At 46.3% G+C, this 22093-nt stretch overlaps 1 protein-coding gene across 2 annotated transcripts in view, besides 1 other annotated feature; it reads left to right on the forward strand.

Annotated features, from left to right (window-relative positions):
- Positions 1 to 21391, forward strand: part of FLVCR2 (FLVCR choline and putative heme transporter 2) — a 69548-nt gene extending 48157 nt beyond the window's left edge. For both annotated transcript variants that reach the window (NM_017791.3, NM_001195283.2), the window contains exons 4-10: positions 6853 to 6920; positions 8134 to 8237; positions 12576 to 12686; positions 14179 to 14284; positions 14406 to 14517; positions 15067 to 15122; positions 19625 to 21391. In NM_017791.3, the coding sequence (NP_060261.2) occupies positions 6853 to 6920; positions 8134 to 8237; positions 12576 to 12686; positions 14179 to 14284; positions 14406 to 14517; positions 15067 to 15122; positions 19625 to 19696 (629 nt within the window). In that variant the 3' untranslated portion in view covers positions 19697 to 21391. The remainder of the gene's footprint in view (positions 1 to 6852; positions 6921 to 8133; positions 8238 to 12575; positions 12687 to 14178; positions 14285 to 14405; positions 14518 to 15066; positions 15123 to 19624) is intronic.
- Positions 21570 to 21864: an enhancer, noted in NCBI's record as "tiled region #2473; HepG2 Activating DNase matched - State 5:Enh". NCBI's record gives its function as "activates a minimal TATA promoter and a strong SV40 promoter by Sharpr-MPRA in HepG2 cells {active_cell/tissue: HepG2}" and the evidence as "EXISTENCE:reporter gene assay evidence [ECO:0000049][PMID:27701403]".

The raw sequence follows: 22093 nt of genomic DNA on the forward strand, positions 1-22093 counted from the left end.
CATGACTCTAAGAGCTTTTACTTTCGCTAGAGTTGGACATCATGAGTGCATTGACCTCTGACAACCATAAATCTTGCTGCATCTAACAAGAGGATATTTGAGGCCTACCTGGGATTCTAGGGCAGATGAGTGCTTCATAAATATTTTCTATAGCTGAAAATGGTGACAGTGGTGATAACTGGGCAATGGTCCCATTCCAAAGGCTGTGGTCCTCAGTGCTGGAGGTTGTTGGTCTTAGGGCCAGGTCACTGACTCATGAGAACAAGAAACAGAGACAAAATGTACCAGAAACATTGTTGCTCCTGGTCATCGAGGGGTCAAGCCTAGGCCATGCTGTGGGGAGCAAAGCTACTCCTCCTCCTTCCTCTCACATGCCTGTTTGCTTACGTGGTCTTTAATCTGACAAAGTAGTTTTAATCCTGTACTTCTGGACACTTTTCCTTATCTATTTGATTAAATGATAACCGAGGAAATAAATAGGAAAGCACTTCTTGAATGGTGGAGTAAGGACCTTAGAAAATCCGCTCCTCTATAGAAACAAGAACAATGGCAAAAAATATCCAAATGAATTTTTTCAGAACTTTTAACAAATGGCTTGCAACAATCCAAGCAGCATTTATTCAAGAGAAATGGCTAAATATCAGTAACAACAGTGGGCCTTGTGTTTTCACTTGCCCTATTCCAATCCCTTTCTCCCTACTACAGCCTTGCAGCCATGGGGCTGTGACATCCAGCAGCCTCGCAGCCGTGGAGCTGTGAAAACCAACTGTCTCATAGCCATTGGAGGGAGCAAAGTCGATTTGGAGCTCCACCCCTGAGAATTACTATTTGACCTACCTAGCAGGTCCCCGGAAAAGCCCTATTCATAGGACATGTTGCTATTTAACCTGACTTGGAGTTTGCTAATGGGAAAAGCCCTATTGCCAGGGCATTTGTTGAAAACAGTCAATGGCACTGCTTAACATTGTAGCTGCCTGCAGTGGGGATAACAGTTGGGGTGAACAAGAGGCTGCCTGAAAATGCTGAAAGGAAACTCTGGAGAATGTGATGTCCATATGGGGTTCTTTGCCAAAAAGAAAATGATTCTTAGACTTAATCACAGATTTGAAAAAATTTTTGACGGAGGAATCATGTTAATTGCTTTACATGCATTATCTCATTTAATTTTCAAAACAAACCCATGACATAGCCCTTTGTTTCATTTTATACATGAGGAAACTGAGGCTCTAGAGTTTTAGCTTCTTGCCTATAGGGCGAGAACTATAGGCACTTACTCCAACTGTTAATCTTTGCTTTCTTTTCCTACTGTGTTTGTTCCAAATTAAAACAAACAAAAACAAAAACAATTTTTTTTTTTAAACAGAGTCTTACTCTGTCGCCCAAGCTGGAGTGCAGTGGCATGATCTCGGCTCACTGCAACCTCCACCTTCCAGGTTTGAGCAATTCTCTTGACTCAGCCTCCCGAGTAGCTGGGATTACAGGTACCCGCCACCACATCCAGGGAATTTTTGTGTTTTTAGTAGAGACAGGGTTTCACCATGTTGACCAGGCTGGTCTCGAACTCCTGACCTCAGGTGATCTGCCCGCCTTGGCCTCCCAACAAAAACAATTTTCTAAAATGCCCTCTATCAATTCAACTAGATGCTTTGAAATCCTCCAGAATTACCCCAGTCCTCCTAATCCCCTTGCAGTTTCAGATTGGACTTTGAAGAACAAAATGGTTCATACTTTTTACATTGTACACATAGTGTTCATATTTAGCTCTGAATTATATGCATTTAAAGAGCATGTGGCTAGGAATTAAGCAGGCAACAGCATTTCACAGGCACATGTACTGGACATGGGTGGACATGTCTTGGGTTAAGAGCCTTGAGTGCTGGACTCGTAAGTTCAGAGTTGGCTCATAAGAAATGGGAGGTCTGAGTTTTGGTGTCAGCTCTGCCAGATACTGAGTGTACCACCTTCATCCATCTGTGCTGCCCATCCTTCATCTCTTTAATACTCTCCACCCCCACTAGAAAACAGTAATGATACTTATTTCCCATTGGAGTGTTCTGAATGGAAGTGAAAGCTTTTAATGCAGTTGAGAATAAAGACATGGCATGCCTCCAGACTGCCAGTCTGCCATTGCCAGACTGCAATGCTATTGCATTGGTAAACTTACTGGTTTCCAGCGTTGCTTCTTTGGTCCAAACCAGATTTCACTAAGAGGGGGAGTAACTGTCCTGCAGCTGGTGGTATTGTATTTGTAGTGGCTTTTCAAGTGGTTCTCCCAGCTGATGAGTCAACTGCCCAGAACTGAGGTGCAGCGATAATTGAAGGCCTTGGAGGAAATCGAGGGTCCAAGTGTTGCTGGCTTTTCCCTAGACTTCTGGCTACACTCTTAGAGGTAGGGTTGAGAGATAAAATAAAGACCATCCAGTTAATCTGAATTTCAGATAAACAACAAATACTTTTAATATAAATATGTCTTATGCAATATTTGTGGCATATTTATACTAAGAACTATTATTTATTATAAATGTATTTATTTGCTATTTTTTTTCAAAATCTGGCAATTCAGTTTAGAGGGGGAGAGGTGCAGGGGTGGAGCTCGTGCTTGATGTTGCGGAAATATCATATCAGTAAGAAACTGCCAGTAAAACACCCTTCCTCTCTCCTTTAACTTTGGCAATGTGGGAAGACTCAGGGAACCAGAAATTCCACCTGTCTGCCAGTGTCTTTGGTGTGTTTCACAGTAGGGTAGGGTGGGATGGAGAAAGGAACCTTCCTCTGGCTACCTTCTCTTTGTGTCTCTGGTGTGTTTCACAGTAGGGTAGGGTGGGATGGAGAAAGGAACCTTCCTCTGGCTACCTTCTCTTTGTGTCTCTGGATCTTGCATTCACATGGCCTCCTCTAATGTCTTATTATCAATGGCATAACAACTGCCCTGTTGAAAAGAATTGTTGAAAAGGCTTCTCTTCTAGAAAATGGCATACTCAAAGGGCGTACTTTTCCCATAGTTATGCCCCAGACTTGCTGCCAGCAAGATTATTCATGCTTCTGAATAAACTTGCAGTGCCTCTGGCATCTGAACTCAGAGCCTCAACTTGTGTATCCCAAGGTTCACCTTCCCTTGGGGCTCTCAGCACTTTATCATTGCTCCACCTACATGGACCTAGGGAGGGGGCTTCATGCCCCCTCTAAAATCCTGGCTGAGGAGTGGGCATAAAATCCTCCAGATTCCTGGGAGCTTTGCCGAGGTCAAGCTGGCCCTTTAAAACAAGGACTAAAGGGAAACGCAGAATAACCAAAACCCAAAGATATGATCTGGGGTCAGTGTTTCCCAGACTTCCCTGAGGATAGGACCCCCTGGGGTGCTTGATTGAATGTGTGCATAGATTTCTGGAAATTCAGATTCAGAAAGTTTGGGTTGGGGCCTAGGAATCTGCTTTCTACCAGCATCCCAGATAATTCTGACTTGCAGCAGAGTTGAGAACCTCTGAGGTAGCTGTGTGATGGGTCTTGAAGCGCCTTCCCATCCCAGCTGCCTCCATGTTAACCCCACCACCTGGGAGCCTGGGTCTGGTCCCTGATCTTTTGTATCTTGAAGGCCATGTATTCTCAAATTCCAGACATTTTAACAAGTGCATTGGGGTTTTATTGTTGTAGTTGCTAAAGATGCAGATTCCTGGGCCCCATTCCAAGAGATTCTGATTCAGTAGGTCTATGGTAGGGCCTCAAAATCTGCAGTTTTAAACTTTAAGGAATTCTAATGTCAGTAGTCACCGGAACACAGTTTGAATAAAATTGTTATTGGCTGGGCTTGATGGCTCACACCTGTAATCCCAGCACTTTGGGTGGCCAAAGTGGGAGGATCGTTTGAGGTCAGGAATTCAAGACCAGCCTGGTAAACATAGCGAGACCCCAAAGAAATTTTTTACAAAGAAAAAAATTGTTTTTGACAAAGGAGAGAAAGAGACTCAGAATGATGACAGAGTCCTTTCTGCCTCTCTAAAGCCTGCCTCCTCAGTAAGTGGCACTACTCCCAGGTGACTGATTCCAGGAATGACCAGGCCTTTCAGGGAAGATCACATTTTCTCTTCCCTGGCCCAGCAGGCTCACCTTGCTGAGGATGATCAGACCTGAATAGAATGCAGTCACCTGTACTCCTGTAAGGGGTACTCACACAGGAAGGAGCATGCATTTCATTCCTGCCCTTCTGTGTGGGATGCCCAACCCCTTTGTTTTGGCAGTAGAGTGGACTTACGCTGGTTAACTGTGTCTGGCAAACTTTGACAATATGGTGAGGGACATCTAGACCAAAGATGGATTCAGAAAACATACATAAGCTCCTAAATCCTCTAAGGTGGGGCTGCAGAAACAGTGGAACAGATTGGCAGCCCTCCAGGATGAACCCCTGCTCTTCCTTCCCTCTCGCCGCCCTTTAGCCCCGCTTCAGTCTGCTGTCTGGCCTGGAGCAGGGATGGCTGTTGTTTAACCACATTGCTCTAGGGAGCCAGTGCTTCCACCTGGAGCACGATCAGAATCACCTGGGAGGCTTATTCAAATGCAAATTGCCGGGGGCCTCACTCCCAGAGTTTCTGCTGCAGTAGGTCTGGGGTGGAACAGAGACCACACTTTGGAAACTATTTCACTAAACCATTGAGCCCCAGAAAAACCACTCAGCTTCAGCAGTATGGGCCAACCTGTTCAGGACTCTGTTCCCCAGGTCTTTATCAGGACCAGTGAGCACTGGTGTATTTTTTTTGCTCCCAGTCCTTCTGGATAATTTCCTTTCTTTTTCTGTGGATTCTGCCATCCTTGGCTCATCCCAGTTAGCAAAGCAGCTGTTCCCCTGAAGCTAAGCCTGAGTTGGAACATTCCTTGCCCTTTGCAGTATCAGGCTAGGGCAGGCAAGAGGCTTAGAGAGGAGCGGGAGGAATGAATGGGAAGACGGGAGGAGACTATTTTCTTTCTTCTCCTTCCCACGCTCCACCTCACTTGGCTTTTCAGGAATGTCTCCTTACGGGATCTCTTCACTCGGAAATGGACTTTCTAAGTGGCTGAGTATGTACTATGAAGGGCAGATGGGAATGCTGCTTGAATGAGATGTTGCTGAGAGCCTCATGATCATTGCAACCATCAGCCTGTCAGTTGTAGTGATGTTTGGGGACATGTCTGGGTTGGTTGGCCCACTGTGGCTCACTGTGCTGCTCACTGTGTGCACAGTTGGCCCACTGTGCTGCTCAGGAGACTGCATTGAGCCCAACCTTGTAGCATCCCTGGGGTGAACTGCTGGGAGAGGCTGGGACATGAGGAAATTGTTCATGACCTGAGCTGGGAAAATCTGATTCAATAATCAGCTTTGTGAGGATGTAAAGCAGAGTGATTAAGATCAAGAAATCTGGAGCCACAGGGCCTGAGTTCAAATCCAGCTCCATCACTTAATACCTGTGTGATTGCAAAGCAAATTATTTCCCATTTTGCAAGATAATTTGACCTTCGCTTAACTTTGTATCTTTTACTCCCTGGGAACCTGATAAAGGGAGTACGTCAACTACCTTTAGGCAACATTGCTTATGATAAAAATGTCCTCTGGTGATACAAATGGACAGAGAGACCTATTCATTCTTGTGGGAAGCCATTCTTTGTGCTTCTTGGAGTACAATGACTCTTTTCACTGGCCTGTCACTTATGGGGCCCCTGGAAGCTACCCCTACGGAATTGTTACAAGTAATAGTGGTGCCTGTGAGCATTAAGCCAGGGTGGTTGCCATACCCACCTTCCCTTGCACCTTAGCCATCATCTGAAAGACAGTAGCTTCCGGAAGGCTATATGAACTGGGGTTCTATGGATTGGTTCCATTGAAGAGGAACTCCTGAGGCTGCCCTGTCCACAAGCTATGTGTCCTGACTTACACCCTTCCAAGTAAATCTAATATGGAGTGTGCCGGTGGTAGTCTTGTGAGCCTCAATGTTTAGTTAAAGTTAGAAAGACCCCCGGTGGGCATTATGGAGTGGCAGTACTTATTATTTTAACTGTGTGTGCATCTTTATTATCTCTAAAATGGTGACGATAATACTACCTACTTTCTAGAGTTGTCATAAAGTGTCTAATCCATAGGTATGTGCAGCCGCCATTGTCATCATCATCATCACCATTGAAGGGAGGCCAGGAGGCCTTTTCTCCTTTGGGTCAGTTCCAGTCTCAGCTACTCACTTGCTGTATGACTTTGGGCAAATGACCTTATTCGCTAAAGATACAGCCTTTCACAGCATATTCTAGGTGCTCCTTTGGTGAATGAATTGGTAAAGTAGGAGAGTCAACTGAATGCTCTTTAGGATCTCTTCTAGTTTCATGTAATAGATTTTGTGTGACATTGAATCAGCAAAGAAAGTTGGAGGAGGAATGGAGAAAGAGGAGAGAAATCACCTGCAGAGGGATGGTGTCAGATGTCAGAGGTCTGGAGCAGCCTCAAGAAGGGGCAGGGTCATCAGGAAGAGGAGGGTGTCCAGGACTTCTACTGACCACCCCTTAGATCTACCCAACGCTTAAGAAGAATGTAGATGACTCTGCCCTGGGAGTAATACTCAACAGAATCTATTTTCCAGGGCAAATTAAAGGGATCAGAGAGCAATAGTGTGTGGCTAAGGGAAGGTTAAATGGTTACTTTTGGTTGTTTTGAAGTATTTCTTTGAGAAAACTGCAGAGTAGCCTCAGACCTCCCTGGAGTTTTCTTCTCTGAGGATACTGCTCAGAGTGGCAGTGAGATGAGGATTTCTGCCCACCCCCCAAATGCTGGGGGAGAAGTTAGCAATGGCCCCAGAAGAAAGCTGACCCTAATGTTGTATTTCTCGCTCCCTTCTTCAGGTCTGAATGCTGGTGCTTTTTATGCCTTGTCCACTCTTCTGAATCGCATGGTGATCTGGCACTACCCGGTAAGGGAGTTCCCTAAGCATGTTGGGCCTCAAGATGATATAGTTTCTAAGTCTGTCTTGGCAGGACCTGGGATGACCGTTAAGTCTTCATTCCCCCCAGTTCTAGGTAGGGTGATATGGTGGTATGCTTATGGGATTTGGAGGGAGATGGCCCTAGATCTCAACCCTAGCTTTGGTGTTACTAAACTGTGTGATGGCTTGACAGTGTGACAAGCTAGTTAGTGTTTCTGAGCTCTCATTTTTTTTTTTTTCTGCAAAAGAAGCATAATTGCTTCTTGCAAGGTTCTTTTTAGGATCAGAGAGTAAATAATGACGCTTGTGTATGTATACATAATTATATGTGATACATGTATTTATTATACAGCATAGTGCCTGGCAACACTGTTGGCAAATATATATATAAAATATTTCTGAATTTAAATGTTTCCAGAACCCACGAGGGCTGGGCTGGATGCTGGGAATGGAATACTGAGTGGCCTGGAGTCAGGAATACGGAGATGCAACCCTCTTTTGAAAGGACTAGGCTCTCACACTTGCAGAAGGGGTAGACTATATGGCTAAGTGTCCTAGTTTTGGAGTTCAAAGGCCTGAGTTCAGATCCTAGCTTTGAACTTAACATATGCCTTGTGACCTTGGGCTAGTAGGTTAATTTCATTGTGCCTGTTTCTTCATCTGCAAAATGGAGAAGACTGACTCCTAACCTTATGATGGGGAATGGCGAGGAGTAAATGAGATAATGATATAAAACCTTAGGCATGGTGCCTGGCTTATAGTAAGCACTCAAAAATATATAACTATTATCTTTCCATTCCTCTTGGCATTGATAGTTCAAAAAAACCTAAGAATGGAAATTTTAACATATATATTTTAAATTCCCCATCTGTGAAATGGAATTAATGACAGATAAGATAGAAGAGTTGCTGTGAGGTTTACATTTTTTAAAAAATTTGCCTAAAAGTAGTTCTAAGAACAGATTTGGTTCATCCTTGTCACTCCAGCATCCAATATCATGCACACACAGTCAGGGTTATATTGTTGGGAGGAGTAGTTATTCTAGAATTTTCTCCTAGGCCATCTTGTCCCGATATGTTCTGAATATTGACTCTGATGGAGCTTGAGTTACCTGCCTTTGTTCCTTCACCCCATGGTGACTGTGCTCTGTCCTGGGTCTTGTCCCATCGCCGGGTGATCTTTGGGGTTATGGTTTCCCCAGGGGGAAGAAGTGAATGCTGGAAGAATTGGCCTGACGATCGTCATTGCAGGAATGCTTGGGGCTGTGATCTCAGGAATCTGGCTGGATAGGTCCAAAACCTACAAGTAAGTGACTCATCCTCTTGGACTGAGAATTGGGGACCTGTTTTTTGAAATGACATATTCATAAGCAGTGTGACTCCAAGTCATTGTTTGGAGATCCTAGTGGCCAAGCAGGTCATTCAAGTTTGACTTCTCTGAGCCTCACTTTCCTCATTTATCAAATGAGGGAAGCTATACCCGTCTTAAGATCCCCACAGGATCTTAGGAAGATGGGAGCTACTGGACTTGAAGGCCTAGCATAGTCCTCTTCCCCATCCCCACTCTCTAAGTAGCTTTGTGAAAGCAGCAGAGGAGGGAGAAATGAAAATGAATGGGGAAAAAAAATCTCAGCGGTGGAAAATTTGTGGAAACCCCAAAGAGTGGAGATGAGGAGGAGGTGATTTCACTCTCCTGTTCTCATGGCACCTTGTGGACCCCATGGGGTTGACCAAGGTACTCTGAGCTTTCTCCAGTTTGCAGTGTATATTATTGTGCAATTATTTATACCTTGTTGGTAAATATTATAACTTACTTTGGACCTGAATGCCCAGTGCATTTCTAAGAGCCTGGAGCTATTTTAAAAGGTTTTATCAGGCTGGGCGCAGTGACTCACATCTGTAATCCCAGCACTTTGGGAGGCCGAGGCAGGAGGATTGCTTGAGTCTAGGAGCTCAAAACCAGCCTGGGCAACATGGTGAAACCCCATCTCTACAAAAAATACAAAAATTAGCTAGGCATAGTGGCACACACCTGAAGTCCCAGCTATTTGGGAGGCTGAGGTAGAAGGATCGCTTGACCCAGGAGGTGGAGGTTGCTGTGAACTGGGTTCACGCCACTGCACTCCAGCCTGGCTCAAGAAAAAAAAGAAAAGAAAATGTTTTATCGGTGTGCACATGGGTTAAAAAAAAATTAAAAGGTTTTAGTGAATGCCAGGCCACTACCCGCCCCATGGATGCCAAATCAGCAGAAGAATCTGCATTTGTAGAAAGCAGCCTGGGTGCCTCCATTCAGCAGCTGGCCTTGGAGAAAATCCTCTGGCGAACAGCAGCCCAACATCCTTCCCTTGTGATTTTCCAGTGCTCCCCGTTCACTGGGTACTCAGTTAGCACTGGCTGGCGGGGCAGCTGTTGGGCTGTACTGTACCGGGGCAGAGCAGTGTCCCCGGCTGCTCTGTCAAGGCCTCCAAAGTTCCCAGTGTCTGCAGGCAACAGACAGTGGCAGACCTGTTCTCTGCCACACAAACCCGCTTCTGTGAGGCCCTGGTCAGACCAGGTCTCATTCTGGCTGCCCTAATCAAAGGCCAATTGAGACCATCCCTAGGGAGGTGGCGACGAGGAGCCTGGCTCGGCTTAATTACTGCTGGCGGGGCTTGGCTGCCATCTCATCGCTGCCATCTGTTAGTTGCTTGCTTCAGCCAGACACAAGAGCAGTGAGGACTGGCCATCCCCAAACCACTGAATAGCAGTGACCCTTTTTCCGGGGCTTGCTCTGCGGCAGGAGGAGGGAGGGATGGGAATGCTGGCTGGGCTGGGACATGGGCAGCCGGATGATTCAGATGAATTAGAAAAGATAATGAGAGGACTGGGAAGAACACTTTCTCAGCCCTCTTCAGAACCTAGATGTCACCAGTTCCTAGCATCACGTGATGTCTAAATCCAGTGGTCAGCACAAGATATTTTTCTCCCTGTGCCACTACCCAGGCAGAGAAAAGGCAACTCCCAGTGGGATGAGAGCTCTGTGATCCCATCATTTCGGAGCCAGTCCTCGTCACTCTAAGGCTCCCAGATTTGTCTAGTTTTGTTTGGAGGTTGGAAATTGGGTGGTGAGGTCTGTTTATCTCAGACTGGGACTACAAATAGTTTTTCTAAACTGGTCAGTGGTTTAGGATGAAGCTATGGTTAAAGCTTCATCCTGGTGAGCTTGTGGGATCATCGGGCAAGACTGGCGTCCATGACGTTGCTTTCAGCAGAGTTGGTAGGAAGAGTGTGAGGGAGGAGCGTGAAGGGAGGAGGAAGCTCCTCTACCCTTAGCAGCTGCTTTGAAGCACCAGGTGGGAGCAGCATCCTTTGGAGACTCTGACCTTGAGCTTTTCCAAAGATGCAACCACATAGTGCATCGTTATTCCCGCATGCAGTAGCAGAAGGGACACAGGTTTCAAATCCAGCTTTGAGTTCACATCTCAGCTCTGCATTTATTCAGCTGGTGACTTTGGACAAGTAACTTGAGTGGCCTGAGCTTCAGTTTCTTCATTGGTAAAATGAGAAATCATCAGATATTTCTTACAGGATTTTTGTAAAGGTTGAATTGAAATAATAAATGCATGTGAAGTGCTTCACAGAATCTGGCACTCAAGAGATGGAGGGTTTCGTTTGACACAACCGTAGCGTGCCATTTGGTGCCTCCACCATGATTCTGGCTTCAGGGGTGATGTGTAAAGAAAAGCTTTAAAGATTTTGGCCAGGTGCGGTGGCTCACGCCTGTAATCCCAGCACTTTGGGAGGCGGAGGCGGGCAGATCATGAGGTCAGGAGATCGAGACCACCCTGGCTAACACAGTGAAACCCTGTCTCTACTAAACAAACTACAAAAAACATTAGCCAGGCGTGGTGGCGGGCCCCTGTAGTCCCAGCTGCTTGGGAGGCTGAGGCAGGAGAATGGTGAACCTGGGAGGCGGAGCTTGCAGTGAGCAGAGATCGTGCCACTGCACTCCAGCCTGGGTGACAGAGCAAGACTCCATCTCAAAAAAAAAAAAAAAAAGAAAGAAAAGAAAAGCTTTAAAGCTTTCATCATCTGAGTCCTGATGTTCATGGTAGGGGGGCAGAGGGATGTGCAGTGCCTATGCCCTGCCTTAGGTAGTGCAGGGAGAAGAATGCAGGTCGAATTGCAGGAGTCGGGGCTGCATCAGAGTCCTAGGTGGGCAACATGGGAAGAGAACTGCTGGAGGGGCACAGGAGGGGGTGAGACTGAAATAGAAACCAAGACTTGCTGATGGTACTCCTGAGGGGATCGACACAGGGAAATGTAACAGGGAGTGGGCGAAGATAGAGAAGGTTTCTCACATTGGCTTTGGAAGTCAAGCACTCAGTTCAGGCTGAGAGAATATTCTCTCTTAGTTCCTGCTCTCTGGAGTGGAGTAGTTCAGACTCAACAGAAAAAGCTTTGCTGGGCCAGGCGCAGTGGCTCACACCTCTAATTAGAACACTTTGGGAGGCCAAGGCGGGCAGATCACCTGAGGTCAGGAGTTTGAGACCAGCCTGGCCAACATGGCGAAACCCCATCTCTACTAGAAATACAAAAAATTAGCCACGTATGGTGGCGCATGCCTGTAATCTCAGCTACTTGGGAGGCTGAGGCAGAAGAATCGCTTGAACCCGGGAGGCAGAGGTTGCAGTGAGCTGAGATCACGCCACTGCACCCCAGCCTGTGCGACAAGAGCGAAACTCCATCTCAAAAAAAGGACAAAAGAAAAAAAAGAAAAGAAAAAGCTTTGCTGGGTCTGTTGGTCTGTTCAAGTAGGGACAGGAAGAACTTGTAGGTGACAGAGCACATTGCCCAGCATTGTCATGGGTCTTGGGATAAAGCAGACAAGCAGAATTGGACAGCTTCTGGGGTAGTCCTGAATGTCACCGCCACCTCATCATGGCTGATGTTTGTCCTGTTTTTTCTTTTTTCTGGTGAGGGATGGGAGAAGGAGAAAGGGCTTTGCCCTTCTTGTCTGTGGCTAGGACATGACAAGTCAAGGGGCAGATTGATATTGTTGAGTGGGTTCTACAGAAAGGGAACAAAGATATCGTAAGATGGCTTCATACTTTACTAGTCTTACTTACCCTTTGTAGCATTGATCATGATGTAATTAAATAATTTTTTTGTGTGATCATCATCTGTCAGTGTCCATCACCCTCATGGAGAGAAAGTTCTATGAAAGAAAATGTCCAAGAACAAGGCCAGGCCTTGGCTTTGTAAGGCCTGTAATCCCAGCACTTTAGCAGGCCAAGGCAGGTGGAGCACTTGAGGTCAGGAGTTCGATACCAGCCTGGCCAACACGGCAAAACACCGTCTCTATGAAAAATACAAAAATTAGCCAGGCGTGATGCGCACAACTGTCCCAGCTACTCAGCAGGCTGAGGCACAAGAATTGCTGGAGCCCAGGAGGTAGAGGTTTCAGCGAGCTGTGATCACGCCACTGCACTCCAGCCTGGGCAACAGAGCAAGACACTGTCTCTGAAAACAAAACAAAACTCCAAGAACATAGCAGAGGGCTTGACATGCGGCAGATACTTAATAGATGCTTGTGGAATAAATGAATGAATGAGCCTATTAAAGTCAGAAGTGTTTGATTCAATTTCTTTGCCTCTACTTGTAGAGAGACAACCCTGGTAGTCTATATCATGACACTGGTGGGCATGGTGGTGTACACGTTTACCTTGAACCTGGGACACCTGTGGGTAGTGTTCATCACTGCTGGCACAATGGGGTAAGTTTCACCTCTGGCTGATTTATTAGAAAATACCATGCCATGGCTCCCAGAGCTTCCAGCATCCTAGAATGCAATATTGATGCCTTTGCTGCCTTCTAACTGACCTCAGGAGATATGGACATGGTGCCCAGGGGTCTCGGTAATACTTGTAGTACTTCCAAAGGCAGCCTGGGCTGTCTGTTCTTTTGGGATGGAATGAAGCATGAAGCACACCCTTCGCGACCTCTTGGAGGCTAGAACCTGTTCAGAGTCTTTTTCAGTTTTGCCTGGACAACATGGGATTGTGGAAAGTACACAGGGCTTGGAACCAGAGACTCTGGGTCCTGGTCTCAGTTTTGCTGCTGCCTACCTGTTAGACCATGGGCACAGCACTTAACCATTCTGAGCCTCAATTTCCTCATCTGTAAAGAAAGATAATAGTGGCCTGCCTTGTCAAGTTGTTGGACAGATTGAGAAAGATAATAGATATGAAAGCATCAAGAAGCATTGTGAAAATGTAAGAAATTAAAGTTGCCGGGTGCGGTGGCTTAACGCCTGTAATCCCAGCACTTTGGGAGTCCAAGGCAGGCAGATCACAAGGTCAGGAGTTCAAGACCAGCCTGGCCAATATGGTGATACCGCGTCTCTACTAAAAAATACAAAAATCAGCCAGGCATGGTGGCACACACCTGTAGTCCCAGCTACTTGGGAGGCTGAGGCAGGAGAATCGCTGGCACCTGGGAGGCGGAAGTTGCAGTGAGCCAAGATCGAACTACTGCACTCCAGCCTGGGAGACAGAGTGAGACTCCGTCTCAAAAAAAAAAAAAAAAAAAGGAGAAATTAAAGTTGGAATTTTCTAGACCTGTTGTATGAGAAAACATAGGAAACAATACCTCTTTCACAGGAGTCTTTGTTCAGCTCTGCTTCCCAGTTATTTTCCTATGGGCAGTATATGAGTGTTTGTGTGTGTGTGTGTGTGTGTGTGTGTGTCTGTATGTGCATGTGAAAGAGAGAAAGAGGGAGAGAGCATGTGCTGGCACTCAGTCCTCAGCTGGTTCCTCTCTGGATGGAAATAAGGAGGACTCTAAGCTCCTCCTTCCAGGTCCCAGAGAGCCACGGAGATCCTGCTCAATATCCAGGAAGTTCCCACTCCCAGCACAGGGCCTGTGTACCCAGGACATAGTCTCTCAGCTGAAGGTTGAACACACCAGGCATCCTTGCCCCTTCTGTAAATGCTGACTGGCTGTCACTGATGGCAAGATGGAGAAGCAGCAAGGGATCCCAGAGGCCTGCTGAGCACAAGGTCTCCCTGTGAACTTCTTCCTGGCCTTCAGGGGTGCCCGTCTCCTTGGTATGATCACATAGAGGATGCCCAGATCATTAGAGGGCCTAGTATGTCTTGGTGGGAAGAAACAAAACAGCAAAGGGAGTCCTAGGGGAGGAGGTGGGCTCCCCATCCTTCTTGTTCTGGAAGTTCTTCATCCCCTTGTTTCTCTGGTCTGGTCTTCAGCTTCTTTATGACTGGCTATCTCCCACTGGGATTTGAGTTTGCTGTGGAGCTCACGTACCCAGAATCAGAAGGCATCTCCTCCGGCCTCCTCAACATATCTGCACAGGTAGAGCTCGTATTTCCTGTTTGTTTCCTGGCTGGGAAGGCATTGCATCATGGCAGCTCAGTTCTTCCTCATGAGTTAGTTGACTGGGCCCTTGTTTCCTATCTTCTTTATGCCTTTCCAGGTATTTGGGATCATCTTTACCATCTCCCAGGGCCAGATTATTGACAACTATGGAACCAAGCCTGGGAACATCTTCCTGTGTGTGTTCCTTACTCTTGGAGCAGCCCTCACTGGTGAGTTGGAGCCTGAGGGCAAGATGAGGCTCAGGTTGGCCATTTGGGACCCTAGTGTCTCGATGGAGCAACAGATAGGGAGTACGTACGTAGGGGGACAGATGGAAGGGTTTGTTGGGGAATCTGTTGGGAGGCAGCACATTGTTTTGGTAGAATGAGCATGGGTTTTGGAGCCAGAAGACTCATGTTGGAATCCCAGACTGTGACAATGACTTCCATAGCTATTGACCTTGGATAAGTGGACCAACCTCTGGGAACCTCAGTTTTTAATCTGTAAAATGAGGATTGTTGTGATGATTAGAGCAATGTGTGCAAAGTCCCTGATCCATAAGTGAAGGCCACTGTCATTGTTGGCTTCTGCCTGTCAGGGACGGCAGTGATCCTCGGGCTCTCTCAAATTGGCTGATGGTGCCCTCAGTCACCAGCTCTCTTGACTATCTGAAGTAAGTTTGGGATACCTGTGACCCTTAGGAAATGAAGGTTTCTTCTCTCGGATGAACGTGATAACTGTATTTTTGTCTCTCTTCCTTCTCAATCTATCAACCTTAGCATTCATTAAGGCAGATCTCCGGAGACAGAAAGCAAACAAAGAAACTCTTGAGAACGTGAGTATATGGGAGCTTTGTGGGGCTGAGATCGGGGTCCAAGGCTTTTGATGAGGATGTGGCAACATAGATGGGGCAGGGAGAACTCCCACAGGGACTGGTTTTGTCATAGCTGGGAGACCAGTTCATCCCTTACACATGGCATCCTAAGACTTTCCTCAGTGGGCATCTTTGGCATTGCGTTCTTGCTACTGCTACCCTTTCTTGGACTCTTCTCCCACTTCCTGCCCTCTTTCTGGAGCCCCCGGCCTCATCCCCAGAGTGTGTCACCGTTGTCACAGTCTGCTGAACAGCACCCCTGACTGGATCTTGAGCCGAGTCCTGAGGCTCTGGCTCCACTGTTTTCAGCCTGGGGTCAGTGGCTGGGGAGGAAGGGGAAGCCTGGCTCCACCACTCTGTCATGGCAGTGCTGGCCCTAAGGCTGTGACTCTCCTGGCATGTGACAACTCCTTAGGCAGGGCCATGGGGACGGAGCCAAAGAATTGCCAGTGGGGCTCTGAAAGGACAAGTCAGGAAGCAGGAGCTGGCGAGGTAGCAGAGGAGAGGACCAGGAGTATGACCTAGAACAGAAAAGTGTTTTCCATCTGTTCTAACCAGCTGGGAACCACTTTAAACAAAATGTTAGGTATCAAATCTGAGTGATGATGAAAGGAATTTCAAATCTGAGAAAGAGCAAAGGTAAGATATTTCTTCAAAAATTAAAAAAAAACTTATAGAGGTAATACATGCTCTTTGTAGAATAAGTAAAAAATACAGAAAAGTGTACAAAATTTAAAAATCATCCTGTAATTTCATCATTTAGAGATGAGATGCCTTTTTTGCATTGATTGCTGCATGTCTGTATCCACTTATAATATATACGTGGATATATGAATGTGTGTATATAAATGCATATTTTTAAACAGAAATAAAACTGCTTTTTTCACTTATTGCAAGCACTTTATCAGGCAACTAGTCTCTTACAACATACTTTTTTTTTATGAGACACAGTCTTGCTCCGTCACCTAGGCTGGAATGCAGTGGTACAATCTCAGCTCACTGCAGCCTCTGCCTCCCGGGTTCGAGTGATTCTCATGCCGCAGTCTCCCAAGTAGCTGGGATTGCAGGTGCACGCCACTATGCCTAGCTAATGTTTGTATTTTTAGTAGAGACGGGGTTTCACCATGTTGGCCAGTCTGGTCTCAAACTCCTGACCTCAAATGACCCACCAATCTTGGCCTCCCAAAGTGCTGGGATTACAGGAGTGAGCCACTGTACCTGGCCTACAACATACTTTTAATGCCTGCATAGTGTTCCTTTATACGGATAAGCCATGATTTATTTAGCAATTTTCCTGTCTGTGGACATTAAGGTTGTTTTGAATTGTTACAAATAATATTGTGATTAATATGTTGGAAGCTGAATCTTTGTGCATGTTCTCAAGTACCATATTTCCTGGAGAAATGGAATAATGGTCATGCCCATTTCAAAGACTTTGGTATGTGTTGCTAAACTGTCCTCTAGAAAGGTACTTTGAGTACTAGCAATTTCTATTGCTAGGCAGTCATATGAGCGCCAACACTGAGTATTTTTCATTTTGAAAAATCTTCGCCAATTTTCTAAGGCAAGAGATATCTGTAAGGGATATTTTTAGTGTTTGAAGGATCTGTGTTGGCAGATAGATGATAATCTTTAGGTCTTTACTATTTGTCTTTTGCTATTACGTTCTAGAGTTGGCAGGCAGCAGCAGAAAAGCATGTGGAAGAAGGAGCCTAGAACAGGAAATTCACTGGGGAGACAGGGAAGGCCTTTCAGCAGGAATGACATTCTTTAATTCTGTGTCAGGGCCATAGTATGGCCACTGTGGAGATGGATTTTTCACCCACACTGTGTACAAGGGGACATAATGATTTGGTACACTGGCCGGGCGCGATGGCTCATGCCTGTAATCCCAGTACTTTGGGAGGCCAAGGTGGGCAGATCAGGAGTTTGAGACCAGCCTGGCCAACATGGTGAAATCCTATCTCTACTAAAAATACAAAAATTAGCCAGGCTAGTGTCGCACGCTTGTAATCCCAGCTACTCGGGAGGTGGAGGTTGCGGTAAGCTGAGATCATGCCATTGCACTCCAGCCTGGGTGACAGAGCAAGACTCCATCTCGAAAAAAAAAAAAAGAGAGAGAGAGAAATGATTTGGTACACTTGGGTAAATATATGTATAGCCTAGTGAAAGGTTTCAGTTTGGAACGTGACGTATTATGTCAAGTGACATAAGATTTGCTGTGTTGACTTTATAACCTGTGTTTATGTTGGCAGACATAGGCAAACAAAGAAAATAAAAATCACCTATAATCCTGCTTCCCAGAGATAACCTAGTAGCATTTCCAGTGTTGTAATCTATGGACATGCTTGCGTATATTTTGTTTTCTACCCTGCTTACTTAGTATAGCTTGATAACATTTCTACAGTGTTACATTATACCACAACCTCATGTCTACTGTGTATTTCCATCTCACTCAATATTTCAGTTGTTCCACTATTTCATTATTCTTGCAGCCAGCTCTTTGTGTACATGGACCAGGTTTGTTAATCAAGGTTACAATTGTTGGCTCAGTCTCTTTTGAGTGTGGGGTGCTGGAAATAGCGCTGAGTAGGAATAACAGCCTTAGGTTCCAATAAATGGTGCTCACCTGTCTTGTGTCCCTGGATAATTCACTATGTGTCTGTAGACCTCCCTGGCACCTGTGGCAGCATGGTATTATGGGGGGTCAAAGTCATGCTGGGACTGACACCAGCAAGGAAGCCAGGGCCATCACAGAGCAGCCCTCCTCTGGAGCCGTGACATTACGCACCCCATGGCAGCTGGTGTAACTCAGAGACCTGTGGACAAATTCATTGTCAGAGTCAGGTGAAGACTGGGCACACGGCAGATCTGGCCAGACCTGCTCTTTCTAATCAGTGAGATGTATAGTTTAGGGAAAAAGAGATGGGACTTCTGGGACAGGGTAATGATTGACCTTGACTATGAACATCTTACTGGTTTGGGTTTCCATTTTTCTTCTAGCACATAGACAGTAGTTGCACTTCTGTCTCCACTAACTTGTTTCCCATTTGTGATTGTGATTTCCAGGTGATGGCTTTGGAGGAGGCGGGCGTGGTGTGTGTGTGTGTGTGTGTGTGTGTGTGTGTGTGTGTGTGTGTCAGAGAGAGAGGGGAGACTAAGTGACTGAAATAGGCTGTTAGTTTCCTGAATGATGGCTCCTCATGGCTGAGGCTGACTTGATGCCAAGTGTTAGCAAGATTGAGAATGGGAAGGTTGGATTCTACAGCTGTCTCCATTACCACAAACAGGCACTGAGACACTCCCTGGGGAAGAAAGCACCATTTGTCCACTTGACATTGGCTTCTGTCTTAGCCCTGTGCATGTCCTCTAGGCCTTGAGTAGTGTTGGCTGTGTGGTGCTGCACCTGTGCCCAAGGCCTTCTTGTGAATCAGAAGAACCCTTGAGGTCACAGACAAAGTACTTCTTAAAACAGTAGACAAAGGCCCAGGTTGGCAGTATGTACCTAGGGGCCCCACAGGATAATTTCCAGGCCATGTTGAATTCCAAACTCACCTAAAAAGTGTGACTTAGAAGACTTTCCTGTAAATGAATCCTGTGCCATCCCTCCCCTAGAAAGCTAAAGCCATTGAGCTTACATATGCAATTATGCATGCTGCTTTGGCATCTACTGCATGTTCATTATGATAGTATTCCTCAGCTGGGCGCGGTGGGTCACGCCTGTAATCCCAGCACTTTGGGAGGCCAAGGTGAGTGGATCACCTGAGGTCAGGAGTTCGAGACCAGCCTGGCCAACATGGTGAAAACCTGTTTGTACTAAAAATACAAAAATTAACTGGGCATGGTGGTGGGCACCTATAATCCCAGCTACTTGGGAGGCTGAGGCAAGAGAATCACTTGAACCTGGGAGGCGGAGTTTGCAGTGAGCCGAGATCGCGCCATTGCACTCCAGCCTAGGCAGCAAAGTGAGACTCCATCTCAAAAAAAAAAAAAAAAAAAAAAGTATTCCTCATCCTGGGGCTGCCTCCAAGTGGGGGTTGTTGGAAATTCCAAGGGAATCGCAGACCTGGCACCTTGGACAGTGATTTGATGGTTAGTTGAGGTGAGTTTTCAGCTGTCAGAATGTGGAGGGAAAAGGGGCTTTGCTTCTGTTTCAGTCCCGAGAGTGAGCCTGAAAGAGTGGCACTCGGAGCTGGATCATTTGTGGTGGCCTTGGCATCATAGAAAGCTTGCCCCTTTTTCCCTCTGATGACCTCATGATGTTGGGTGGTGTGTGTTTGTGGGTGCATTTATGGCAGGGGCTGGTTGCTTCTTTTCTTGTTCTCTTTCTTGGCTCTCTGGGATGCTGAGTGGCCCCCGGCTCTTGTATTCCCCACTGATTAGTCATGGCCAGGCAGCTGCTCCAGCCAGGGTGGAGTGCTGTGCCTTTACCCACAGCACTGCCTGTTTGTTTTGCTTTATAGAAACTCCAAGAGGAGGAGGAGGAGAGCAACACCAGCAAAGTGCCCACTGCTGTGTCAGAGGATCATCTCTGAGAGGAAGGTGGTGACAACTCAGGGAACACGAACACCCCACCTTTTCCTTCAGCACAGCTCTCACCGCCAGCACAAAGGGCTTCGCTAGAGATGTTTTTGGAGGGAATCAGTGGGACTATTTGTGGCATGGATGGCCTATTCCTCCTAGAACCCACGTAAGAGCTTGGATGATTTAGTTGGAGAAAATTGCACCTATCACCAAATGCAAATTTGATTCCCACCTCCACCCCCTTTTAGGTTATGGGAGTTGGTGTTGGGACAGGGTGGCAGAGAATATTGGAGTCAATCCTAGCTTGGTCTCTTGCCTTCCCTCTTTTCCTCCATCCATCGTGGACAATGCCTGCAAAATTTTCACAGGAAGAAAGCCTATTCAGGATATTAACTTGAAATTTCCAGTGTCCTAAGAGCCTCTCATGAAGCCCAGTTCTAATAAGTGGCAAGCTGCTCTGCCGGGGTCATCTCCTGGGTCATCGGACTGATTGCTCAAGTTCTGCAGGAGAGGAAGCACCATTAGAACAACTCCATCAGAACAGCTCCACCGGGACTTGTGGGCCTAAATTTTCCTGGCCTAACGGGTCTGTCTCCAAACCCTCTTTCCTAAGAGCTGAGCAAACCAACCATAATAAACTTGACAAAAGACTTTGTTGTGGCCATGACAGAGATACCGACTCAGGAGGGCTACCTACCTAGGTGTGATCATGCTGGGGGCTACCTTCTGAGTATATTTGTGAAAGCACATATTTGGGAACTCTGGTAGCTTGAGTTGGGAATGGGAAGGTTCTTTTTTACAGAAGTACTTCCCCAGGGACTTCTGTGTGTCACAGTCACCTCTGATGCCTTTATCTTGATGTTGCATTGGGAATCTCAGCCATCAGCCCAAGTGCTTGTTTTATTCCAAGGCAGGGTAATCCCCGTCAACTTACTCTAACCTTTGCTGAAAACTAATCTTGATTCATTCTACTCTGAAAATCCAAAGGTGCTTCTGAGAGATAAGAGGGAAGGGGTAGAAGGAAAGGTGCCCCTTGAAATGGGAATTGAGCCTGTTAGAATTAAAAGCTTATCTCACCTCTGCTGGGGACAGTATTTGCACCACCAACCCCTCTCCTCACCTGCTTTGAGCGATAATCTTTATCAGATATTCTAAACTTAAAGGGATTCCCTTTAAACCAACTCAAGCTGATCTTTCCTATCTAGCCTGCTGTTTGGCTGTACTCATGGGCTTTGGTAATATCTCCTAAAAATGAGGTTTTGGTAATTTTTCCTATGCATTGGGCAACTGTGATCGTGACCACTGTGCTGTCTTGCTCCAGCCACTGCCCTGGCCTCAGCATATCAGGGCAGCCTGTGCTGGCTGCAATACTGTGGTGCTTGGGCCACTGCCTGAGAGGAGCCAGGTTTGTGTGTGTCTGCATGTGTGTGTGTGTGTGTTTGTACAGATTCAAGCAATGGATGCAAGGAACATGCTGTATGTAATAGAAGAAAGAAGTCCACGTTTTCGGCAGAAGTAGTGAGTCAGTGTGGAAGAGAGGTGAGGGTGTGCTTTACTTTTTGATAAAGAGAAAGATGTTTACTCATAAACCCTTCAAAAGGTATTAACAAAATGTTTACCAAACCTATTGCTTTATTTTAAAAACATAATTTGTGTTTTCTATTTGTAAGATCTGACATTTCGAGGCAATAAAAACTTCTCAGAAAGTGGTCTGCCTTATCATTCAGTGGGGCAGAGATGGCTCTTAGAAGTCCCTGCAAGACTGTCACACATTCCTGAGGCTCCTGTCTTAGGTGTGGGGAAGGGCTGGGCTGGGGCGGGGGAGTGTGAGGCTAGAGAAGCAGCAACTGTGGTCTTCCACAGGAGCATCTCACTGTTGCCAGACCTTACCATCTGGGAGGGATATTTTTTAAAGACAAGGCTGTAAAGGTTACTGTTTGCCTACATGGAGGGACTGCAACTCAACATCCAGCACGACCCTGACCTCTTTCCATGCTGTGTACGCGCTGGAATGTGAGTGACTGCTGATGAGAGAGTCCACTGTTGTTTCTGGCTCTGCCTCAAAGGGTGGTTGAAATGTTTGTTCTCTGATTACCTCAGCCATGCATCAGCTTGCTGTGGCTGGGGCCCATGGCTCAGTCCCAGCAGCTGCAGTCTTGCGTTACCATTTTTCTTCCTAACTGGCCAACGTCCTGTTACTCATCCCTCCCCAGTTGTGATCACCTTGTGCGTGTTACTTGAATATGCTGCTACTATCATCTGTGTTCTGTACATTCTTTCCATAGAGAGTTGTACTGTGCCTGTGGTATTCTAGCATCATATTTATAGCAACTCGTAGCTGGGGAGGAACAATATTATGATTCTATTTTAAATGATCTAGGAAGGGACCCAAGCCTGGGCTGTTAAGA

The sequence above is a fragment of the Homo sapiens genome, chromosome 14 (assembly GCF_000001405.40).
Source record: "Homo sapiens chromosome 14, GRCh38.p14 Primary Assembly".
NCBI classification, from domain to species: domain Eukaryota; kingdom Metazoa; phylum Chordata; class Mammalia; order Primates; family Hominidae; genus Homo; species Homo sapiens.